The 25,285-nt window shown below is 46.9% G+C and overlaps 1 protein-coding gene across 2 annotated transcripts in view, besides 1 other annotated feature; it reads right to left on the bottom strand.

Moving 5' to 3' along the window:
* Positions 1-25,285, bottom strand: part of EPAS1 (endothelial PAS domain protein 1) — an 89,291-nt gene that overhangs the window by 5,951 nt on the left and 58,055 nt on the right. For both annotated transcript variants that reach the window (NM_001430.5, XM_011532698.3), the window contains exons 3-12: positions 24,445-24,596; positions 23,939-24,023; positions 19,991-20,109; positions 19,657-19,862; positions 10,814-10,920; positions 4,910-5,057; positions 3,994-4,208; positions 2,660-2,853; positions 1,980-2,090; positions 30-520 (exon numbers count right to left, since the gene is read on the bottom strand). In NM_001430.5, the coding sequence (NP_001421.2) occupies positions 30-520; positions 1,980-2,090; positions 2,660-2,853; positions 3,994-4,208; positions 4,910-5,057; positions 10,814-10,920; positions 19,657-19,862; positions 19,991-20,109; positions 23,939-24,023; positions 24,445-24,596 (1,828 nt within the window). The remainder of the gene's footprint in view (positions 1-29; positions 521-1,979; positions 2,091-2,659; positions 2,854-3,993; positions 4,209-4,909; positions 5,058-10,813; positions 10,921-19,656; positions 19,863-19,990; positions 20,110-23,938; positions 24,024-24,444; positions 24,597-25,285) is intronic.
* Positions 19,101-20,300: an enhancer, noted in NCBI's record as "BRD4-independent group 4 enhancer chr2:46587586-46588785 (GRCh37/hg19 assembly coordinates)". NCBI's record gives its function as "activates an origin of replication core promoter dependent on BRD2, P300/CBP, MED14 and CDK7 cofactors, and independent of BRD4, by STARR-seq in HCT116 cells {active_cell/tissue: HCT116}" and the evidence as "EXISTENCE:reporter gene assay evidence [ECO:0000049][PMID:35650434]".

The raw sequence follows: 25,285 nt of genomic DNA, 5'->3' as shown, positions 1-25,285 counted from the left end.
GCTGGTACAGCTGAGTATCTGCCACTTACCTTGTCTTGAAGGTGGAGACATGGGGTGGAGAGACAGGGGGCCCCAACGGCGCTGCTCCCAAGAACTCTGTGCGCTGATCCCCGACGGCCCACTTTGTGGGCCCAAAATGTAATGGTGGATCTGGGGGCCACTGGGTATTGGATCTGCCCCCCATGGAAGAGAGAGGGGTGCTGGCCTGGCCACAGCACGGTGGCAGGGATGCTTTGCTTCCGGCATCAAAGAAGATGGAGGACATGGGCCGGTGCTCGGGCTCTGTCTTCTTGCTCTCCAGCTGCTGCTGAAACTTGTCCAGGAGGAAGGGACTGTGCGGGGCTACAGGGGCCAGTGGCTGGAAGATGTTTGTCATGGCACTGAAGCAGTGCTGGGGGGTGGACTGTGGGTTCTCCGCCAAGAGCCGCTCCTCGGGGCAGATGGGGCTTAGCTGGAAGTCTTCCCCGTCCATGGGGATATAGGGTGCCAGTGTCTCCAAGTCCAGCTCATTGAAATCCGTCTGAGGGGAGACAGCACCGGCAAAGAGGCAAGGGGGTTGGTACGACCTCACAAACACTATTCCAACTCAGCTCCTGCAGAGCCATTCATCTCAAGCACTGTTTCACAGTGCTGCTCAAACGCCTCCACTGGCTCCCGAGGGCCTATCAGGAAAACCTCAGACTTGGCTGTGTCATGTACACGACCTTGTATCATGTACCAGCCTTCCCCCATGTTTATCCCCTCTTCACCCTGCACATTGAGAAATGTTCTCCTCTCCCCATCCCACCTGTCCGGAGCCCGCCTTCTCTCTTGAAGCCGAGGCAGCCCCTCTTCCACAGAGTCAGCCCTGCCTACTCCAGCCTGTGGTGGTTATCCTTGTCCTACAATGCTTAGGCCTGTGGTGCACACTGTGGCTTTTTTTTGTCCTCTTCTCCCTCCTGTAAGCTGGCACGGGCCTAAGCAAGCAGTAAGTGCCCAGGTCCATCTGTGGACTCTCGCAGAGTAACAGCCTAACAGCCAGACCCCAGGGACAGAGACTTTGGTTCCAATCAGCAGATACTCAGATCATCCCTTAGGGTGGCAGTATCATGACGGACGCATGATACAAGCAGGGGAATACAAGCAGATGCGGAAAACAGTTTCTAACTTCAGAGACTGACACCCTCAGTGGGTGTCAGCTGACTAATGACTGCAATACTAAGCAATCTTTAAGGAGCAGAAGCAGATAGCTGTGATTAAGTGCCACATGATATATACTACAGGAGTGCTGAGGAGGGAGGGTGATAGAAAAGCTAAAATTGGGCATGTTTTGCAGAGTAGCTGGGATTTGTGCCAAGTAGGATCAAGAAACAAACTAAGTGGCAAGGCAGAAATCTGGTTGAACTCAAGACTAAGACAAATGGGGGATTAATGGTTTTCCCTGGGGTTTTGTAAAACACGTACCCCTCCCTCTACCTTATCCTTGTTTACATAGTTTTTGCAAGAACATTGGCCTTATGTAATAAATGTGTTCCTGAAAAGTTTTATGTAAATGAAAAATTGTCAAACAGATGTTATTTATTTTAAAGTGCATTTCATATAAAAATGATTATTTTTTTAAAATCACAAGATGAATGTGTTTATAAAGGGATTAATTGTCCCCTATGTTTATACATGTTTTATACATCTGGCTATGCTTGTTAAATGTAGGGCCTGTTTAAAGAAAGGTGCAGTGGTATCATTTCGGTTTTCATGTGTGCTAAGAAAGCTATCTAAGTAGGAGACACATATGCTGGAAGAGCTGGATTTGACAGTGGGAGGAGGGGGTGACCACAGGCTCCATTACCCTGTACCCCTACCTCTTTAGGGGACCTGGGCCTTGGCCAAACGTCTCCACTGCTCTTTACAACAAAGGGATGAGGCTACAAGAATGGATGTGAGCCTTTGCTGTCCACCAGACAGCAGGCACACACCCTAGCCTGATCTCCACAGCCATCTACCTGGGTACTGCATTGGTCCTTGGCCTCTGTGTCCATGGCGAAGAGCTTCTCAATCACTTCAATCTTCAGGTCGTTATCCAAAGATGTGTAATAGTCTTCAGGGCTATTGGGCTAGGGGCCAGGAAGGAGGGGGACAGAGTCAAAGATATGGCACTGGTCTCCCCAGAAGTCCAGCATGGAAGAAGAAATACCTTCCTGGACCCAAAGGTTCAATTCCATTCCACCACACAACTATTTGTAGAGGGGCTGCTAATTAACAAGCTGTATGAATTAGGTCAATTCATCAACCTCTCTAAATTCCAGTCTCCTCATCATAAAATGAGGCTACTGTCGCTTCACAGGTTGTCCTGTCTTGAGGACCAAACAGGATACAGGCTGTGGCCAGCAGGGCTGTGCAAACTGTGCAGCTCTGTGCCACATACGGGATGTTACTGCCCTGTATGGGGACTGAGCTGGGGGCTCAAAGCCCTTCAAGGAGCTTATTTCAATGGAGTTGGGGGATGAACACTAAAAGGAAGAAAACAGCTCTGATACCTGGTAGGTAAGTGTCACGGCCACTCTAGGGGGCTCTGTGATAACCTGAGAAGGACAGTACCTGTCCCAAATGTCCCTTCAGCCATCTGGCAGCAGTCATACATACGGAGCCCTCTCTGTGTCCTCGCCATAAGAGGGCTGCTCACCGTGGAGCAGCTGCTGCTGCTGCTGGTGGCACTGGGGGTGGTGCTGCCCGGGGCAGCTGCCTGGGGCACGGTGAAGGCAGGCAGGCTCCCAGCCTCGCTCTGGGTGCTGTGGCTCCTCAACTCCGTGGCCCATGGCTGGCTCGGGGGCAGGATGGCCTTGCCATAGGCTGAGGACTCCTCGAAGTTCTGATTCCCTGTGGAGACAAGGGCCTGGGAGGTGAACACCCACAACCATCGGGCTCACCCCAAGGCAGAGGAGGCCCAAAAACCGCAGAGAAGGCCCTAAGAGGGTCTGGAAGGCATGCCTGGGGCTAGGCCCCCCCAACACCCTGGGGCTCAGCTGGAACACATGGGTCTTTGACTCTGGCTATGAGTCAACGTAGAGACTCCCTTTAAACGGAACAGTCTCCTGGGACATTTAATTTTCAGAGACTAAATATATTAGGAGCCACTCTTCCCTGAGGAACAGATCCGGAAGGGTAGACAAGGAAGGTATGAGAGGGAGAGGAGAATTGGGCTATTGAGCTATTTGCCTCAGTACTGCCACAAAACAAGCCGCGAGACCTACTGGCCAAGGGCCCGCTGCGTTTCAGATTCTCTTTAGCTGCAATCCTCACGTGGCCGCTGTAGAACCCATCTAAAAGGGGCTGACACAGTCCAGGGTGAGCACCACTCTTCCGGCAGCCACAGCAAGGCCAGGAGAGGGTGGCAGCGGGTTGCGAACTGGGGAGCATGGGGCTTCAAGGGTGTTTCCAGGATTGGAGCAGCCGAGGGCTGAAAACCCTGCCGGGGTCCCCAGTGACTTACATCCCCAGGGACAGGCAGACACTTTAATGAAGTCGTGGGTTTGAGGGCTTAATCCCAGGCCTCAATATGTTCTCTGTGTTTTTGGAATGATCCTTCCCAACATTACTCCAACTTGGCCCTCTGCCTGAACAAGCCATCTGTCCTTCCAGACCCTGGTAGGAATCTGCCCCTTCTCTTTGACAGTGTCCAAGTGGCCTCGGAGCAGATCCCTCACCTCTCCCCTCCCTCTCATCTCAGACTCTCACCACCCATGGTGGAGAATCGACCCTCAGGGGGGTGTCCTCTCTTAACCCCTCCTCGTACAGCACTTGGTGAGGTCGGATATGGGATGGTCTTATCAGGGCAGGAGCGTGTGGTGTTCTTTTGTGCTCAGCAGGGCCTGGCCTCTAACAGGTGATTAACAAGACTTGGGGGGCTGGGGTAGCTCTGGTTAAGAAAAAGCTGCAGCCAGGGAGGCCTGTTATAGTAAGAACTCTTCCCAGCCCCAACGGGGTTCCAGGGGCCTGGCTTAGCTAAGAAGCACCCACCGAAATCCAGAGAGATGATGGCGTCTCCTGGGGTGGGAGCCAGCTGGGCCAGCTCCTCGGGCTCCTCCTTTAGCTTGGTGAATAGGAAGTTACTCTTCTCAGACACAGCCCCCTTGCCACTGCTATCAAAGATGCTGTTCATGGCCATCAGGTGGGGCTTGAACAGGGATTCAGTCTGGTCCATGGAGAACACCACGTCATTCTTCTCAATCTCACTAATGGGGGGGAAAGAGCCATTCAGACTTTCCACATTTTCTAGAAAAATTCTGCTCCCCTAGATGCATGGAAACCCTCATAGCTAAGCTCTCCGACAAAAAATGGGTAGGACTCCAGGCATTGGCGTCTTATAAAGAACCATACAATAGAAGTGTGTGAGCCATGGAGGTAGTGACAACAGAGGTATCCTCTGAATGTATGTCTGTTTCGGATCCTGTTTTATTAAATATTATTGCACTTGAGTGGGGTGGTATATATGAGGCCTGATGCTTTTGTTTTTCTCTGTCTGTAGAAACAACTAGAAATGACTTCCTCTAGCTTTCTTTCCAGGTACTATAGAGTGAAGGCATGACATCTTTTTTTTTTCCCAAAAGCATAAGCGATTCTCTTTCCTTTTTCCCCATTCAGAAAATATTGACTATTGTGTGCTATCTGCCTCCCCACCTGGGTCAGATGCATGGCATAAATGACAGATGCCAGGGAAAGCGCAGAAAAAAAAATCCCAACCCAGTATCCCACTGTTCCAAGACATCCACAGGAAGTCCTCTCAGTCACTAGGGTTAGCCCTGCAAGACCTCCCTGAGGTGGTGCCCAGGGCGCTGAGAGGCCTGGCATCTCCTAGGCCTGTCATCCTGAGTCTGGGAAGCTTGGGCACCCCCACATACCCTGCACCAAGGCCCGCCAGCCCTCACATGCTTACCTCAGGACGTAGTTGACACACATGATGCACTGGGGCTGCAGGTTGCGAGGGTTGTAGATGACCGTCCCCTGGGTCTCCAGCCACACGTAGCCCCCATGCTTTGCGAGCATCCGGTACTGGCCACTTACTACCTGACCCTTGGTGCACACTAGGGGAGGAGAAACAGAGCTGAGCTTAGGGAGGTGGGGCAGGGGTGTGCACCACAGGCTCAGCAGATCGCATGGGAGGGCAGTCTAATCTGCAGGGGAACAGACAGAACAGGGCGCCACGACAGTGAGGACCAGGGAGAGTGACCTGGGAGGGAGCTTAGGGATCACCTCAGCCAACTCTTCATTTTAAATATAGGAAAAAGAGGTGAGAAGAGGTGAAATGACTTGCCCAAGGCTGTCTACTGAGGGAGGGACCCGCTCACTATGCAGCTTTGCAGTGGCCCATCACCAATCCCTGGACAAGTCAGGCTCACAGACCAGCTCAGCTATAAGCAGAACCAAGTCCAGAACCTGCCTTACTTTCTTCATGGGGTTCAATGAGAAGAAGCCCCTTCACACTGGGTAAGGAGCGCCATCCCGTCAAGCACTCCAGGTGGGGGGACTTCTAAGCAGCCTGGAGAAAGCCTGACCTCAGGGCAGTTTTTTTTGTTTTTTTTTGTTTTTTTTTTTCAGCAGACCCACCACCAATACCCTGCTTATGAATAAAAGCATTTAAAACATTGATATCCTTGATTTCTCCAGGTCATCTGTCAGGCTTGCCACCTTTTGGGCCACTGAAGGTTTGTGACCCACAGCAAAGGCAGAGGCAAACCACCCCACCCTTTCTCAGTTGGGGCTGAGAAAGAGCTGGGACCCTGGCAGCCCACACACAGTCTCTTCATAAGCTGTAATAAATCACTTATACTCCTTCTCCCAACCGCCCAGCTAGGCTTCCTACTTATGAGGTTTTTCCTCTTCTAGATTGTTCTACTAAGTGTTCATTTAAAAAACGCTTTTGTTGTCTACCTTGGGGAAGGGTTTCACATCACAGACTGTCCTTCCCCAGTCCAGAATGTTCCATCTGCTGCCATTCAAAAGGAATCAATAAATCTCTTTAAAGTCTAATAATGTTAGAATTTTTGGTATTTTTCTGAACTGCCCATTCCTTGGGAATTTACAGAACTCCAGCTCAGAAGCTCCCAAATCACAGAGACGTTAGGAAAGGGCATGGAGGGAGGATCGGGAAATCTTGCTAGCTTGGGATTTGGGGAAAGGAACAATCCTTCTTGGTTTTGGTTTCCTCCTCTGCAAAACAGGATATTGATAATAATAGTAGTAACGGTAATAACTGTCATCATTAGCTACCCAGCATACCACTGCCATTTGTACTGAGGATCGACTGTACCCACATGGCTTATCAGGTACATAAGTGTTGACCAACTGTCACCAACAAATTTTGTATAGGAAAAGCCACCTCTTTCTTAGAGATACTAATACATATTATGCCCATGGCCTGTCACAGACAGTCTGTTACACGTTGGTAGATAGTCTCATGAGGGGCCACTCGGGAGGATATCCAGGCTCTCGGTAGACAGAGAGTCTCCCCGGTTCTCCTGGTAGGCTCGCAGGCCTCCTCCCCATTCATCAGCCCTGTACAGCTGAGGAACATGGCTCTCTTCATACTAGTGCAGTTTGGTAATCCTTTACACTTATGTTTTGCTTTCTTCTTCACAATTTAACAAGCACCTGCAAAGTGCAAGAATTCCTGTAACTTACATTTGTATAGTGCTTTGCAGTGTTCAGAACTATCTGATAAGATGAATTCGTTTCTGCAAAGCATTCAGCACAGTGCCTGGCACATAGGGCGCTCACTAAGGATTAGGTCATCATCACTGCATTTCATAGGCAACACCATGGGGTGCCTGTTGTTATTCCCACTTTACAGCTGAAGAAACTGAGGCTTAAAACTACTGAGTCATTTGCTGAAAGACCACCTCAGTGGAAACAGTAGACAGAATTATAGTTCAAATTAAAGATTCCTAGTCTAAGCTTTTTCTGTTTGCTCTTAATTTTTAAAAATAAATGTTATTGGGGTCAAATTTACCTTCAATAAAACACACACCCATTTGAAGTATACAGTTCAACAAGTTTTGACAAAGGTACAGTGAAGGCATAGCACTTTTCCATCACCGCCCCCACCACCCCATTTTTTATGCCTCTGGGCAGTTAATCTTCATTCCCACCCTGGTTCCAGGCAACCACTCTTCTGCTTTTTGCCACTATATATTCGAATTGTCTTTTCTAGATTTCCATGTAAGTGGAATTGTATAGGAGTATCTACTCTTGTGTCTGGCTTCTCTACACTCAGCATGTTTTGAGATTCATCATGGCGTTGCAGGCATTTGTGGTTTATTCCTTTTCATCAGTGAGTTGTATTCCGTTGCATGGACATACCATAATTTGTTTATCCATCTGCCTGTTGATGGATGTTTGAGTTGTTTTCAGTTTTTGATTATTATGAATAAAGCTGCTATAAACATTTGTGTATAAATCTTTGTATGGACATATTTTCATTTCTCGTGGGTGCAGCTAGGAGTGCAATTGCTGGCTTACCTGTAAAGTATATGTTTATAAGAAGCTGCCAAATTATTTCCAAAATGGTTGTATCATCTTGTCTAATCTTTTAAACAAAACCCTGTGCCACAGGGAGGATAAGTATTTTCTTTTAACATGAGGAAACTAAGGCCAGAGGGTTATGATTTGCTTCACAGCTTACAAGACAATAGTGACAGAGTCTGAGCTACACAACATGTCTGGTGGCTCCTAATACAATGGTCTCTTTATTACCTGGGTCCACAAATCACTGGGAAGACCAAACTTGCTGTTGCCGCTGTCCTAAACCATCATGGACTCAACCAAGGAAATAACTTTTGTCCTCTCTGCTCTCCCTTTATCTGTGCCACTGAGGCTCCTCTGCTGCAGTAAAATGATTCTTGCACAATTTCAAGTGCCTGTATTTAACTTATTTAGATGGTCCTTAATGCAAACCAAATTCAGGGCTCTTACTCTTTTTGATCAAACAGTGCAGCAAGCAAAGGTTTTAAGTGCATTTCTAACAATTGCAGGCAAGGGCCTGCTCTGTCAGTAGAATATAATTAACGCCAGCTTTCTAATCATCTGGTCATTAATGCCAGCCTTGGTGAAGGGCCTGCTACTTAATAGATAGGAAAATAAGATTAAAGGCCATAAAAAGCCTAAAAGCACATAATATCCTCATATAACAAAGGGAGACTGACCCCTAACCTCACGCCCAGAGTAACAGTGTATAAATTATTAATCCATTTGGAAATTACAGCTTTCAATGATCTAAATCTAGTTGAGCTTCTCCAGGCATTTCAACGGTAAACCTTTACAGGCTAAGACATACATGTGTGTAAATGGGGGATCCCAGTGTGTGAATCTGGACCTGTCTCAAACCTGAGCCTCCAGTTAGTCTAGAGCATGTGTGTCAGTCTGTAGTGAAACTTGACTTGCAAAACCTCAAGGACGAATGAGAGACAGGGGTCGGGGGCAAGGGGCAAGCTCGTGTCATAACTGTCATTAATCCAATTTCCAACCCAAGCAGATTTCCCTTGGCTAGCTATGGGTTTGTCCCTTTGCTAGCTATGGGTTTCTGAGCTCAGGGCAGCTTTACTTGGCTCCATCAAGGGGAGAGAGAGCCTGTGATTTCTATTTGGGCTGTGAGTTACCTTTCAGTGTGCCTAATAAGTAAATACACGGATTCAGTAAAAAGCACCTTATTTTCCCTAGAGTCAGCAGAAAACATAAACCATTTTTATCCTAGCCCTTTTTATGGATTGAAGATGTTCTAAGAAGAACAAGAGGGAAAATCCTTTCTATATGCCTAGTCAGAAGTCACAATTTTTTTTTCCTTTGACAGTAGCTTCTTCTGCTTTCCCATCCTACAAGATAAAAGGTAATACTGTCCTCCAAGAATTCCCAGAAATTTTTACATTTGTCTCTTGCCTTGGCTTCACCCTTAGCTTGGAAGGAAGGCTAGACTTTTCCCCAGTTTTACATCTAAAGTCAGGAAGGTCCAGAAATCCAGGCCCTAGGGAATCAGTGGGTCGGCTGGGCCAGAGCCTGGGCCGCTAAGTCCCAGTGCCTGGATGATTCTGTCACCTGCCTTTGAAAACAGGAACCCCTCAGGGACCAGGAAGCATGAAGGAATCCCAAAGGGAAGGCTGGAACCAGATGTTACAATTTCAAAGCTTGGGCAGGCTAAGGTGGGGTCACATTCACAGGCATAAAAGAGTACCTCCACTCCTACCCCATCTCTGGGTTCCTGAGTGGGGCTGAATCTAGGTTGTTTGTGTGTGTGTGTCTGTGTGTGCGCGTGTGTGTTTTGCCAGAGAGCACAGTGAGAAACTTCTCTGAGATATCATAATGGGCCCTGTTGTACTGTCAAATCAAACCCAAAAGCCATGAGGAAGAGGCAGAGGAACCAATAAAAGAAAAGAAAGATCTCACTCCTTAAGAGTGGGTTAACCATGTTCACATACAGCTTGCGGGGTTGTGACTCTGCTGGCTGCACTGAACTTGGCTGTCTTAGCCTTGGGGTAGATGGGTGGATTTAGGAGCCATGGACAAATGGCTGCCCTTCCGTTTTCTCCATTGCCAGCAGGGCCACTGGGAATCTTCTCAGACTTACTTTACCCGTTTTTAATCCTCCCATAATCCTCTCAGCACCACTGTCTGCACCACTGTGGGCACTCGTTTTGAAGCATTCTTTTCCAAATACAGTCTTGCCCATCGGTTTATATAGTGCATTTAGTGCCTGTTCTGTACCAGACGCTATGCTAGATACTGAGGTTAAAGATATGAGCCCCTTGTTCCCAAGGAGCCCACGGTCCTCTTTTTTCCTCAGAAATAAGGTCACTTAGGGCAGGAATCAATTCTACCAATTTATATCACCCCCAGTGGGCCAAGTACAGGGTTATAGGCCCAGAGCCCTTGCACAGTGATGAGTCGCATGGATTCAAGGGAACGGTCCTGGATCACCTGCCTATAGGAAGCCTGAATTGGGAACATGGCCAAGGATACACTCTAGAACTTCTCTGTCCAATATGGTAGCTACAAGCCAAGTGTGGATATTTACATTTAAATTAATTAAAACTACATTGTATAAAGTTCAGTTCCTCGGTTTCTCTAGCCACATTTCAAGAACATTTCCACTGCAGAAAGTTCTATGTGGCAGCCCTCTTCCAGAGTCCTTACATAACTCAGGCTTCTTTCAAACTGCAAAGCAGAGTTTCCATACGCCATCCCTGGGTTGCCTGGACAGCCTTTTCTAAAGCTCCCTTGATCCAGCAAGCAAGCTCTCTGAGAACTGTGGCCTACCTCAACATATGTGTTAAGTTGGACCCGTAATACTTTCCCCTCTGTTCAGCCTAAGCCTCCCCGATCCTTCAAGGTCCAACTCAAGTGTCCTTTCCTCAACTCCCCCTGCCCTCCTCTTCTGTGAATGTATGTACTTGAATCTATAGCATGCACCCAAGTTGATGATATGTTGAATTATTTTACTCTCTACAGTGCTGTTCCACAAGGTGTGCAAACCACTGACTGCACACAGGCACTCCGTGGAGGTGGTATGGGGGACTGAGACTCAACCCACCCTCCACTGCCTCAGCTGTGCACCTTGGCACGGGTGCATCTCCCTGGAGGAAGTGTCCTTTTTCTAATTTGCACGAAGGAGTCTATAGGCTGGTGGCAGCCTTGGTTTTCTAACCATCTTGAGGGCATAAGTCTTGTCTGCCACACAAGACAGCAGCTCTGTGGAGGAAGTGACCTGGTCTTCTGTCTCACCAGTCACACCCCACTCAAGGCCACATACCACAGACACAAGGAAGCCACAAGGGGCACTCCTGGAACTCACAGTTCTGGTGACTCTTGGTCATGTTCTCGGAGTCTAGCGCATGGTAGAATTCATAGGCTGAGCGGCCAAGCAGCTCCTCAGGGTGGTAACCAATCAGTTCTGTGATTCTGAGTTTTTAAAAAGGCAGCATGTAAGGAAGAAAGACCATATTAACTTAGCACAGCATGTGGGCAGGAGCTAACCCCAGAAGGCAAATCAAACACACACATGCAGATGAACACAATCCAGACTTTCTTGTTGTACCATGTATCCAAGCAAAAGAACACTGTGCTCAATCTACAGTTGCAGGTTTAACCAAACCCCTGTTGTTCCTGCCCTTCCTGAAGCCATGTTTGGGAGGAGAGAAAAGCACCAGTTCTGAGGACTCCCTCTCCCCACCACCCCGGTACACACATATGTCTGTTCTCCAAGAACCACTGGAAGGGGCTCACCCCAAGTTTTTGCAGATGAGGGAGTAGACATCCAGGACGGGCAGACAATTTGCTCGATGCCTACACAGGTGTCCAGGGACAGAGCAAGAATGAAAACTGGGGCCTCCAGTTGCTACATCAAGCTCATTCTAGTAGAAGGCAGTATAAATGAAACATGAAAATTATGTGGCCCCAGGTAGAGCCACCTTTGTCTCTGTGTCAACCAGCACGTGAGAGGGAGTCCAGGCAGGCAGAACCCGTCTGTGCTTAAACCTTCACTTTTCTGCAGGTCCTGCCTGTGACCTCAGGTGCCCTCGGACACTTTCTACTTGTGCCTCACATTTCAAGGAAACGAGGGAGGCAAGGAGGTGCTGAGAGGAAGAAATATTAAATCATAGTCATAGAAATGTGCCTTATTATACTCTAATAGGCAGCTCAGATGACACCACTGGCTGTCATTTCAGTGTCCCTTTCTTCATTCTGTAAGGTATCTGGTTTTGATGGGAAGTGGGCAGAGGAAAGGGCAAATGTGGAGAACCATGAAGAATCACTTAACATTCTTAGGACCCTTTGTTTTGTGCTGTAATCACTAAAATAAACAAAGCCCTGCCTAAGAACCACCAGGTTGGCCGCTTTACCCAATATCATGTCCTATCCTAGGCTATATAATACCTCCATATTATCTCTCAAAATCTTGGTTCTCTCACAGACTTTAAATAATGGCTTCACTGTCTTGTTTACTTGGCCTATCACAAGTTAGAAGTGATGCCACAGTCTCATTATTACAACTCTACTTCAGAAGGCATGACTCCTGGATACAGTCCTATAATTTATCCTTGTAGGGGATCAATAACACGGAGAGGAAAGCAGAAGCAGAAAGCAGAAGCAGTGGCTCCTCATTTCCTGTCTCTGCTCTAAACCCACCCCCCAAACAGGTCAACTTGCATACATCTGTCAGACCAAATTGCCCTAAAATACTACTTGCAACCTGCCATACTCTTATTTAAGTATCTACAGCTTTCACTTTTGCCAACCACACCAACAGTAAATGCTGCGTAACTTCCAAGTCCCCCCAGAACCTACTCTCCATCTTTTGAGCAATTTGATTTTCAACTCATCTGTAAAATGTTATGTACCCTCTGTCATGGAAGACCCCTCTCCCCTCAGTTCCCTATGCCTGGAAAACTCATTCTTGCTGCAGAAGCTTTATGCCTTCTCTTCTCCCCTCTTCTCCAAGCCCTGACACCTCCAGGACCAGCTAAAGCCTCATCTTCTCCACAGAGCCCTCTCCAGTTCCTCCAGCACAACGTCTCTCGTGAAGTCCTAAGGAGTATGCACAATATTACAGAAAATTATGCATTTGTCTCCTCACATCCTAGGCTGTCAACCCCTGAACTCAGGGACCACTTTCTCCTTTTGCTTCCTCTATAACGGGTGCTTAGTAAAAACCTCAACAGCTGACCAGTAGATTGATTTTCTCTTTGAACCTACGGTACAAACAGACACCTGTTTATCCCAGCACTGCTAAGGAACCTGGGCACTAAGGATCTACTTTTTTTTTCTAGAATAATATGATTAACTGTCTCAATGTGTGTGCGCACACATGCACGCGCACACACACACACACAGAACCTGTCATGATAGTCTATCCATCCTTTCTTCATTCTGTAAGTCATCTGGTTTTGAAGTGGGCAGAGAAGAGGCAAGTTCTCTGCTTGGGTGAGAATTTGGGGGTTAAAGCCTTTGTCAAACAAGGAGCAGCTCAACAGGGCTGAGAGGCTTAGGTCTCAGCTGATTCAGCCCAGTGGAGATTTCTCCAGTGAGATCCTAGCAGCTCATTTGTGCCAGCCAGCCAGTCTCAGAGCAGAAGGATCTGTCCCGTCGCTTGGCCCTGAGCAGAGAGGTCTCTGAACTCATTAGCAATGGATACATTATCTGGCAACCTGACCCTGGGGCTGGCGCCCAAGTACACCTTGGCAAAGGTGGAGACTGGGGGGAACAAGGAGACAGAACAGTGCTGGTCCTACGATCAAATGGCTTCGCTGCTGGGTCGGATGACTTTCAAGCTTAGCCTGGGAACTAGAACTGCATGAGTAAGCCCTGCTAACAATGGTCTGGCCATCTGCAGGCTCACTGACTTGCCAGATAAACTGCTTCTGTTCCTGGGCAGGTCTAGAATTTTCTAGAGACCCTCCAAAATGAGCCTACTGGCATTCTAGGAAAGATGTCTTTCTACTCTCTGAAGGAATTAAATTTCCTTTCGAGATTAGAATCTTTAAATTAAAATGTTCAAAGTAGATGTTTATTATAATCTGCCTCATAATAAAATGTTTATCTAATTAATGTATCATCCATTCAAAGGCATACAATGGGCATGTTTTGGAAGTGGAAAAACAAACCTAGATTTCAGAACTGCCAGATATCTTCCCAGTAGCAGCTTTCATTTATCTTGTCAACTAAAATAAATATTTAATGTCTTTCTTCATTCCTTTAAACAGACTACTATAAAAACTGGGAAATACACCACATCCCAAACACAATTGAAGAACATTTGAGTTGTCAAACTTCACAAAGCCAGGAAACCCCAACTTAAAGCTCATGGTCATTCGCCCCCACGTGCAGGCACGTAGACGCCAGTGGGGAGGTTAATGAACCGAGCTTGTTTATAAGGTCGCTCCTACGGCACACAAGGGCCTTCCCCGCTCATTTCCCCCAGGCTCCAGACAAGCCTTCCGAGCTGGGCTGTGATAACACAAGTTCATCTGCTCTCTCCATCAGGGGCCAGGGAACTATTTTTTTTTCTTTCTTTCTAATTAAGGACCCCTGACTCACTGGGAAAAAGAAAATCAGTTTGAGGTCACCCGTAAATTTCAAAGTCAACTCAGTAGGGCTGTTCTAAGAGAAGAGAGAAATGTACAAGGACTTAATTCACCAGATTTCAAACATAAGAACAGAGGATACTTTTTAATAATAAAGTCAAAAAACAGCAGACCAAGGATGCAGTGAGGAGAGAGATGCAGATAGATAGTCAGCCACAAGGAGGCAGAGGAAGGATGAAAGGAAATAGAAAATACAGCTTTAAAGGGGGTTGTTAAATTCTGAAGTTGGTGTTACCCCAAGTAAATACGTGGGTCAGCTCTCTGAGCACTGGACTTCAGAGTGAGATGTGCCTTCAAAATGTAAAATGAATGATTCATTGCTCTTTACTCTCAAAACTGTTTAGAAGCTCTATTCAAAATACACCACCTACAGCAGAGTGCTCGCAAAAAAATTATTCTCTTGGCTACAGCGTGAGTGCTGCCACCTCAAGTGGCAGAAAGAAATCCACCCACAGGCCTGAGAAGGCTCGCTCTTCTTCCCCGCATGTAATCGCCAGCACCCGTCCACGTGCGGTGCAGCGCCACGGTGCCTGACTTCAGATGCCACCGCCTGGAGTCACGCAAGATCTGGCTGCAGTTTTTACCCCTGTTCCCTACACGAGTAAAGGATTTGCTAGGTAAATTAATCATGTAAGCAAGATGGTGAGAGAGTATTTAAACTGTTTAAGAGGATGAAAGTTTTAAGTACTTTGTAACCACCTATTTGTTTTCCAAAGAATGTATCTGCTAATAAATACTTCAAGTCGGCTTGCTTTCCTTCCACACTCTGCCCATCGCCTCTCCTCAGCACCCCGTGATTTATCTCATTTTGGTTTCTATATGTGCTTATAAGCTTTGACACTGCGTTTCCTTACTAATATGTACGCTGTTCACTAACTCAGATTTCAGTGCCTTCGGTTGGTTTTAATATATTTTCATCTAGATTTTGTTTGCTTTAAACAGTACTTAAGCCTTGTGTTTTCCTCAAATACTACATGGTTATATGAAATCTATACAACCAGCTCTGTAATTAACGGGAAATCCATTTCTATCCTGTCTGTGGAGTGTTACAGGGTACCTGTAGGGGTAAGAGTATACATAGGAAGGTTGTGTGTGTGTTTTACCACTTATGGCTCTTTATAGTTCTCCTTACTGACATTATCTTTAGGATCCTCAACGTTTCCCTCACTTTCACCATTTTTACTTATTCTCAACTTCTTTGTAGAAAAACAATTCACCATAAATTTATCCACAGAACTTGGAATGTAGGCATCTTTATTCAACTGTAACTCCTGATATTAATATGTCCTATGTTCCCTAAATGCAATGACAAAACAGGGTTGCCCTAAAGTTCTTTACCTGTAAAAATTGTATGACCCTCTTTGTTGATTTGAAATTTTTACTGTAATTTTGAAACCTCTTCCCCTGGTGATACTGCTCCTATCCACATAATTTGGTTTTATAATTTATTTCTAAGATACAGGAAGACTCCTACAACTGACAAAATCGCAGTGGGATTATATGATAATTAGAAAGGCCTGGCCTCTATCTCCCTGACGGCTTGGCTTCCTTCACAGTTACCTCTTTCACCACTAGATGGCACCTCCACATGAATTTAAGAACCACCCTATTTTAAAGTTAAACTACTTGGGAACAACTTTTGTCTTCCTTTTGGGTAAATGGAATGTTGTATTTTGTACCATTCACTGTGGTTTCATTAAATGGCTTATGTCTCAAACTCTCAACTCCTGAAGATCAGGAATCATCTCTTTTACTTTGATGTAATGGTCTCTGGCACACAGTTACATAGCAGATGCACAGTAAATGACAGTTCGTAACTGGTTGCTCAGTATTTCGGGAAACAGAGTATATTGCCTATGTTTGAGTCGTAAATGAAGAAGAGATCATTAATTCCATTAATAATCAGGATATTTTTCTTTTACCCTGCTACTCAACTTGCTCCCCTTGTCTAGAGCAGTTGACCATAGGTACATAAATGTGACCGACATGAATTGTTATGAAATTTACTTTTAAAAGTATTTACTATTTTAAAAACAATTAATGCAGGACTTAATATGGTACTCTGATCCCTCATTAACAGGAGGACAAATGCATTTTGAACCATCTGTATTCCTTTATTCTATTTCAGATGTTTCAGAATAGGTTGTTTCAGATTCAACTGATTTGACCTGAGAGTTCAATGTAAAATTAGAGTTGTCTTTTCTCTCCCTTCTTTCCTGTCGGTTTTCATCTTTTTCTCCATGACCCTTTTTCTTTTTTTGCTTGATTGTGTCTGTGGTCTCAGTATATATAAGACAAGTACCAAACTGCTTCAAAATTGATTTTGTGGATTCTAACTGCCATACATTTTCTTCAGATTCTAACTTTTCTTGTAGGAAAACAATCCCCTTTGTGGGAATCACAGCACCTTGTGTGTCTCAGATGTCATTAAACCTAGTGAATTTCCTGATTAAAATGGAGAACCCCTCACCCCATTAGGTATCTTGGACAGGCATTGGTTTTTGCAGGATTTGTCTCTAAAGGGGAATTGAGGCGGAGAGTGTATATATGTGTGCATGTGCATATGCTTCTCCCCATCCCACCACAAAGAGTGAAAACAAAACAAGCTACCAAAACCAAAAATATCTCAGGCCTCATCAAAGCAATTAAGATATAACACTTAGGGATTAAGGACTTAAAATAGTCACTTCATCAACTGTCTAAGCCATGTCTGTGCCCTTGTTAACTAATCTGCTAATCGGTTAAACACAACTTCTGTGTGACACAGCATTCTATGTCTTTAAATGCTTCTACATGCAGCTCTCCAGCACCACTGAATTCAGACTTGGGGCCATGTAATTAGGTTTCTTGAAAGGCAAGATTTTGCTGAAAATGCAGTGTGTCTCGCAGAACTTATAAGCAATATCACCCTCTACATTATGAGTCACAAAGCCCTAAATCACGAGGCTTGATACTTCCTTTAAGCCAGAAGCTACTCTGGCTACCAGCCCTGAGCCAAACTAAGAAGTCAGCACAGCATCTTTCCCCTTTCTATGTACATTTCCTCTCCAGCCACATTTAGACATCCAATTCCTTGTGTTTCTCCCCCTCTTCTTTTGTCCAAAGGTTAGTACCTTCAGAAAATTACCTGAAACTCATTTAAACCAAGATAATGAATAAAGGATAAGGCTGAATTACCCCTTCCAGAGGATTTCTTCTCACTGTAACAAGGATCAAAATCTTAAGCTTAAAAAAAATCTCTTTTCTATTATGTAGGGATGCCAAGTTATTTTCTAGGACAGTAGGGTTTTCCCAGTGCTTATGGAGTTATGTTACGGATGTGCTTCATTCACCAGGGTGAAGCACGTATCTGACTTTCATCATCCCCAGCACTATATATGCTCCCAGGCTATATGGCTACGTCGGCTTGAGCCACTTCACCTCAAAGCCAGTGACACAGGGGCTATGCAGTGGGATTGTCCATGTTATCTCACAAGACTACTGAGGTACACAAAGCTGTGTCTTCTGCCCAGAATGTTCACCTGAATACAAAGACTGCATCTGATAAATAACCTTACCTATAACATGGATTCCTGCAGTGCCTGTCACTAAAAGTGCAATCTTCTTCTTGAACCACCATCATTATCACCACCACCACCACCACCACCACCACCACCACCACCACCACTACCACCACCACCACCACCACCACTAACAATTACAATAAATGGTGACTGTGTCGAAGTTCCAGGACGGAAGGCTTCATGCATGACATTTTCTCCCTATGAGGTTAGAGCATTTCTTTCTACTTATATAACTACCCACTAGCTCCAAAGGCTGTGAATCCTGGCCCTACTGTGGTCAGAACTGAAGGACAGGAATGACTCAAGGATACTTTTACAAAAGTTCTGAAATTGTGCCACAAGTGGTGGCCAACTCTAAGAAGGGGCGACCAACCAACACCAGGCCGGTCTGGAATCAGAGGAGAGAAACCCCATCCTGGAGAGGAGGGTCCCTCCCATGAAGAAACCAGATGCCCTTGGGATGTCCAGCTGATAAGAGAAAAGTGGGTAGGCCTAGGGGAGGCTGAGCAGGAGCTTTTTTTCCTGGGGTTCCATGGTTTCCTGCTAGCTGAGGAAGACAAGGCAGATTCTTGCTGATCTGGGGGTCAGATTCTTCCTCTTCCTGCCCCCCAGCCACTAACTGCCTTCAGAAGTGGTTTCAGCTCCTTGAGTTTAGTGGAAGATTTTGCTTTGGAGGAGGCCAAGGACAGGAAGTAAGATATAAGCAATAACAAGAAGCCTCACATGTGTTGTGGTGTCTGGACTTCTCAAAGTGCTTGCACAGCCATTATCTCATTTTACAGTGACCCCATGAAACAGGTTAGAAAGTGTTATCTCTATTTTGGAGAAGGGGAAACTGAGATCTGAGGGTTTCCTGAGGAGAAACCCTAGAAGATGAGAGAAGAGTGGCAAAGAGTTGGGGGTGGCAAAGAGCTGCCACAGGAACTGTCACCCTGGGACACATGGCGGCTCTAGATGCTGCAGAAAGCTGAGGTCAGGCAGGGAGATCTCTGCCAGGAAGGGCGCATGCGGGGGGTGCTGCTCAGCAAGCCCCAGTGGCGCTTACTCAAGCCAGGCCTACCCTGGGCCCAGTCTTCTGCATTTCCTTCCCTCCCTGGGGCCGGCCATTGCTCCGGGCATCTGTTCTCCCCATCTTCCTCCTCCTACCTCCCATCATCAGGCTCCACAGTCCCAGAGGCAGGGCTGGTGGGGGAGTTAGGAGCTGTAGGGTATCTAAATACTCCCTCCTATGACAACCCCAGTCTCTTCCCCACCTGCTTCAATCTTCTAAATGAGCTAAGAACCCGAGATGGCATGACATGCCTAAGCAGTCTTAGGCACTCTTTCAACAACTCTAATAAAGGTGATAATAAGAGCTAACACTGAACATTTATTACTAAATTTGAACCTAAGCCATCTAGTCCTGAAGCCCATGCTCTTAATCACTACTGTGTCTCCTAAGAGACACTGGGCCTGGCACTGGGGGGTTAGCATCTGGCTCAGCTACCTTCATCTTCTTCAAAATGGCTGGACACTGGCCGGAATGGAGTTGCATGCAGGAAGGAACAAGGCGGAGGGAAAGGCTCAGTCAGTAATGGAAGAGGGTCAGTCTCCAGGGCAGAAGCTGATGCTCCTTACTGGCCTCTGAAGCAGGAGTACAGATGGAAGTCTCTAGACTCTTTCTCCTGGGGCAGAAGACTGCCTTGAGAATTTCCTCAGGAGCCTGATACACGTATGGAGAAATATGTTCACACCACAATGATGAGAAGAGTTGCACACCAGGAAAGCTCTGCAGATGGACCCTGAGGCTCTGTCAATGGGAGACCACCAAATACAGTACCGGGAACCTCTGAGGGGCACTGATGCAATGAAACAGTGGCACAGGTCCACGAACATGCACCCGGCAATACCACGTCTATGTTCAGTTCCACACCTTTAATACAGGCACAACTCCCCACACACACAGGTAAGACCCATCTCTGCCCACAGCATACACACCCATGGCCCCCTACCTGTCATCACAGTAGGTGAACTTCATGTCCATGCTGTGGCGGCTCAGGAAGGTCTTGCTATCCAGGGGGATGTCCATGTGGGATGGGTGCTGGATTGGTTCACACATGATGATGAGGCAGGACAGCAGGGGCTCCTTGTAGCCACACAGACTATTGTGAGGAGGGCAGTTGTTGTAGACTTTCACCTGGCCCGTGCAGTGCAAGACCTGAGACAGGCGTGGAAGGGTCAGACATGGAGCCGAGAGTGCTGGGGGTGGGGGTAGGGCCTTAGGCATCCCCTGCACCGCCGTTACCCTACACCTGGGACTCCAACCCAGGCCTGATGTTGCCCTACCTTCCAGGTGGCTGACTTGAGGTTGACAGTACGGCCTCTGTTGGTGACCGTGCACTTCATCCTCATGAAGAAGTCCCGCTCTGTGGACATGTCTTTGCTTTTTTTCCCAAAACCAGAGCCTGGATGTGGAAGGATGGGAAGAACCAGCTGAAGTCAGTTTTATATGGATATTCATGAGAGGGGCCCAGCTGCAGTTTTTCTTGGCAGCCTATTGTTTATATTTTCCAAATATCTGCTCTCTTAGCACCTGTGGTCTGCCATCAACACTGAGCTCCATCATGGCCTGTGAACTAATGGTTCCCACTCTCAAGCTTATCTCCTCAACTGGAGCATAAACTCCCACAAGGGAGGAGCTGCTCCATCATTTGATTTCCCATTGCATCTGGAACATGGTCAGTGGTGCCTTCAGAGCAGCGACACAACGACTGCCTATCAGCCACTAACTCAGCCACCCTTTCCTGGGGCAGGCCCAGGTCTTCTCGCAGAAATTCCAAGGGACAGTCTGAGTGAGGCCACAGTTACTCCAAGGGTGTAAGCCTTCCTCACAGGTTAGAAATGTCTCTCCGACACTCCCGTCTTTCCTTTATAACCTGTCTCTCAGGAGGAATTTAACCCCTCCTGTACCCCATTTGCAAACTGCAATAGCTGTGTTCAGGATACCATGCCATTAGCTTTGTCCCTGAAGTGACATATGTATCAAGGCTCTAGAGAGAACTCTGGTACGAATCTCCTTACAGTGGACTTGGTGAGCAAGTCCACTTTATGGATTAACTCAACCTGGATCATATCCTCTCTCTCAGCAAAAATTAAATCACCAAGACCAGCAATATAGCTTACTTCCTTATAGTTGCCAAACAGCCTCCCGATTCAGAACCATTTTCCACTTTTTGTAAAACAAAGTAATGAAGAGTGCCAGCTGAATCCCACTTGTCTGTGTCTAAATCCTGCCTACACCACCATCTCTGGTACCTACTTTCAAAGATATAATCCTGCCCCCTACCCAGCATCATAGAACAATCTAGAGCCTTGTTTCGAATAGTCACACTCCTTCCTCCAGGAACAGTCACCAGCCCCTGCACTTAAACTTCCAGAGGATCTTGACTGACATATTCCTGAAGAGTTATGTGTCAAAGGAACTGTGGCACCCTTGAACAAAACTTCAACATCCTTAGGGGACCCCACTCAGTAACAGACTGAATAGTGAATTTTTTTAAAAAAGAGAGAACATTCCTTCATCACGATTATAAAACCATTTCTCCCATACCAAATTATGATTCTTGCCATTTTAATTTTCAGAGGTGGGGTTAGCATACAATGAGATATACCTGTATCTTGGGATCTGGCCCCACCACCAGGACCAGACCAGTTGTTGGGTATAAGGGGGCTGGAGGGATTCATTTGTGGCTGTTGCTGGGGTATTATTGAGGCCTCTTAACTTGCTAACCTCTGGATTCTCCCCATGCTGACATTTGATCTTTTTTTTTTTTTTTTTTTTTTTTGAGACAGAATCTTGCTCTGTCGCCAGGCTGGAGTGCAGTGGCGTGATCTTGGCTCACTGCAACCTCTGCCTCCTGGGTTCAAGTGATTCTCCTGCCTCAGCCTCCCAAGTAGCTGGGACTACAGGCACGCGCCACCACGCCCAGCTAATTTTTGTATTTTTGGTAGAGATGGGGTTTCACCATGTTGGCCAGGATGGTCTCGATCTCTTGATCTCGTGATCCACCCACCTTGGCCTCCGAAAGTCCTGGGATTACAGGCGTGAGCCACCGTGCCTGGCCTTGTTCATTCTTTCTAAACACTGCTCCACACAGATCACTCCACCCCTGCACAGAAACCTTCAATAGCTCCCCATTGTCTATGGAATAAAGTTCAAGGCCCTCCACCTGGCCTTCAAAGCCTTCCACAATCTGCCTCATGGCTTTCTTTTCCTCTAGGAACTCACACTAACCCTTTAGGTCTAGATCACGAGTCCACCCATAGGCTGGCACCTTCAGTGAAGATTTGCTGTTGCATTGAGTTTGACTGATCCCAAGTCCTCAATATGCAGATCAAGAGATCTAAAGTTCTACTCAGATAATTAGAGGTCACTTGGCTGTGAATCATGGCACTTGAGAACTGAAAGGTTGTCGCCTTTGCCTAGTCCAATACCATCAATTTGAAAAGAAAGACTCTGAGGAACAGAGAAGTAGGGTACTTGCTTCTGGTCACAGACTCAAACTCAGACTATGGTCAGTGGCTGAACTGACACTAAGAACCCAAAGGCCAAAGGGTTTCTGGAGTACAGAAGAAATCAGTCTTTGGTTTTCTCAGGCTTTCTCAGGCTTCAAGCACCTACCCATGCAGAACATGAATCCTCTTTTTAGAGAGCTTTAGAAAGTCTGGTAGCCCTTTCCCCACAGAACCAGACAAGACACTGAGCAGCCTACAGGGTGCTCTCTGCCAGTGTACCCTAGGACCCAGGTGGTCTAAGGCCTGCAGAAGAGAGAGCAGAGGAGCTGGGTGAGGGAGCTGTGGCAGTGGTAGAAGAGGAGGTGGTTGTGATTCTGTACTTTGCAGGCCCAAATGTGGACTGCAGACTCAGTCTGTAATAGGGTGGAGGTGAGCCAATGAAGTGTCTGTTTTTGCAGCGTGTGTGGTAATAAGAGCCAAACCTTGTAGGCTTAGCCTCACTGCCTCTGTTATTCAGGCTGGACAAGCACAAGCCCCATGGCAGTGACAGGTGAGGTTGTTAAAGAGGACATCTAGACATGCACAGAATCTCCCCAGACCAGTGACAGAATCTCAGGTTTGGAAGGGACCTTGACAGTCATTAAGCCCCAATTCTGACCAAAGCTTCAGTCCTCTTAACAATGTCCCTATTCATGCCTTTGTTGAATGGCCACAGTTACAAGACAGGAAGCTCCACTGCCATTGCAACCATTGCAACGTGCTTTCTGCCTGTGTGGGTCCTCTCATCTACTGGCACCTGCTGGGTATCCCCATGGGTAAGGTCCTGAATGCTACATCTTTTTAAACCTCTTCTCCATCAAAACCTACTTGACCTGCGTCTCATCAGGGTACCATTTCCTGTGGTAGCTCTTCTCCAAAAGTAGCTCCAACAAGCCATGCCTTTTGACACTCATGGCTTCGTGTAGTTTCCTCCCACAATGAGCCAGGGCTGGCCTGTAACATGCTCTAACCAACAAGATGGGGCAGAAGTGATGCTCTGCCAATCTGGGGACAAAGCCTTCAGAAGGCCTGGCAGCTTCCACTTTAGTGCTTCTGGGAGCCCTAAACTGCCACGTAAGATGTCTGGCTACCCTAGAGACACCATATGGAGAGGGAGAGTCTCTGAGTCTCCATAGAGTGAGAGAACAGTCCTGTTGTCCCAGCATGCCAACTGAGTCCAGGGTTCCAGCCACCTGCCACAAGGTCCCAGACGTGTGTGAGCTATCCTGATCACCCCAGCCTAGTCTGGCCCCCAGATGACTGCAGCCCAGCTGACATCACATGGAGTACAAGACCCACCCACTGAACCCACAGAACCCTGGGAGATAATCATCAAAGCCCTATGTTATAGGTGGTTTGTTAGACAGCAATAGATAACTACAGTAGTTACTATGAGCACTTTGGCACAGACTAGTTCCTCATTGGTTTGGGTGGTGTCATTTGGCAGAGATGCTTGACTCTTGGGTGATGAAACCTCCTAGAGACAGTGTCCTAACCCAAAGGTGTCCCCTAGTAGTGGGACACCAGGCACCATGCAGGGCCAGCAGGAGATATTTCTGAGTACTGGATCCTCTCAATGCCCCAATCTCATCTCACAGGCTACATACTTAAATTTTTTAAGGACATCCATTTTTCCTGCATCACAAGGGCCATGAGCTATCTCCCTTATACCCGTAGACAAAGGGGAGGCAGATTCCCACCCAGTGGGGGCAAGAAGGAAGTAAACACAATTAAGGATACCATTTTTGAGACTCAGGTTCTCACGAATCTCCTCATGGTCGCAGGGATGAGTGAAGTCAAAGATACTATGTCCTGTTAGCTCCACCTGTTTCAAAAACAAGGTTAGGCATCATTATTCCTAACAGTGAAGTAAAAGACTCCAAGAGTAAGCTGAGCCACCTTCCAGATTTGGAGGCAGGGAGGAGACTGAATTGGGTTTTCTCATAATCCCAGTCCAGTGTCAGGTCCACAGACAGAAAGATGTAATCGGGGACTACTGATGATGACAGAGACTTGGTCTGTTAATGAGTCAGTAGAGAGCTGTCTACCAGGATGGACATGAGCAAAGCCAAACCCAATGCTTGGGGGTGGGAGCGTGGCCTGAGGCGTGTGGCCTGAGGTCAGCGAGGGTCACCGTGGGCATTTGCAGGGAGAGGTCAAGTGGGATTGTGGCTAGCACCTTCCACTCATTTCTACCCCCAAATGGAAACATTTCTTCTTTTGAAAGAGATAGAGGAGGGTGTCACCTGTGTAAGTCCCATGAACTTGCTGATGTTTTCTGACAGAAAGATCATGTCGCCATCTTGGGTCACCACGGCAATGAAACCCTCCAAGGCTTTCAGGTACAAGTTGTCCATCTGCTGGTCAGCTTCGGCTTCGGACTCGTTTTCAGAGCAAACTGGAAAGGGGGGGGGGTGGGACAGCTTGCATGAATGTGGAGTGAAAACAGATGGGACTGGCACAGATAGGCATTTGCCAGGGATGGTGCAAAGGCATTGGGTGGACTTTTCTGGAAACGCATACTGCCAACCATCTGAATGTCTGCCTCCGCCTGGCAGCAGGCACCACTGCACAGAGGACACCCTGACGGGAGCTGTGAGGACAGTGTGCTTGTTGTGACAACAGTACTTCTGGCACTAGTAATGAGAGCAGTAGGAGCTGCTGTGTGAGTGGTTCAGGGTGGAAGTTTTCCCAAGCTGCCCCCAGCAACCACCTGTACAGCCTATAGACTCAGCTCTTGTCCCAGACCACAAAAACCTTTTAGGCCCCAGGCCTTTGGCTGTTATACACAGACCATAGACTTTATTTCAGCCCTCTAGCCCTCTTCTCCTAGTTCATTATTTATCTCCAAAGACATTTACTTATGAAAATCTGTATTTATCCAGTGCAAACATCAATCAAAGTATGCCTGAATATAATGGTAGTCGTAGTAGTAGGAACAAATTTTAGCTGCTAATATATACTGCAATTACTACATGAAAGGTACTGCACTAAGCATGCTATGTAATCTTCACAGTGACCGACGAGGTAGCTACTATTCTTAATCTCATTTTACAGATGAAGTGTAGAGAGGTTAAGCCATTTGTC

This window comes from Homo sapiens, chromosome 2, assembly GCF_000001405.40.
Source record: "Homo sapiens chromosome 2, GRCh38.p14 Primary Assembly".
NCBI lineage: Eukaryota > Metazoa > Chordata > Mammalia > Primates > Hominidae > Homo > Homo sapiens.
This window is presented reverse-complemented; position numbering and strand designations above follow the sequence as displayed.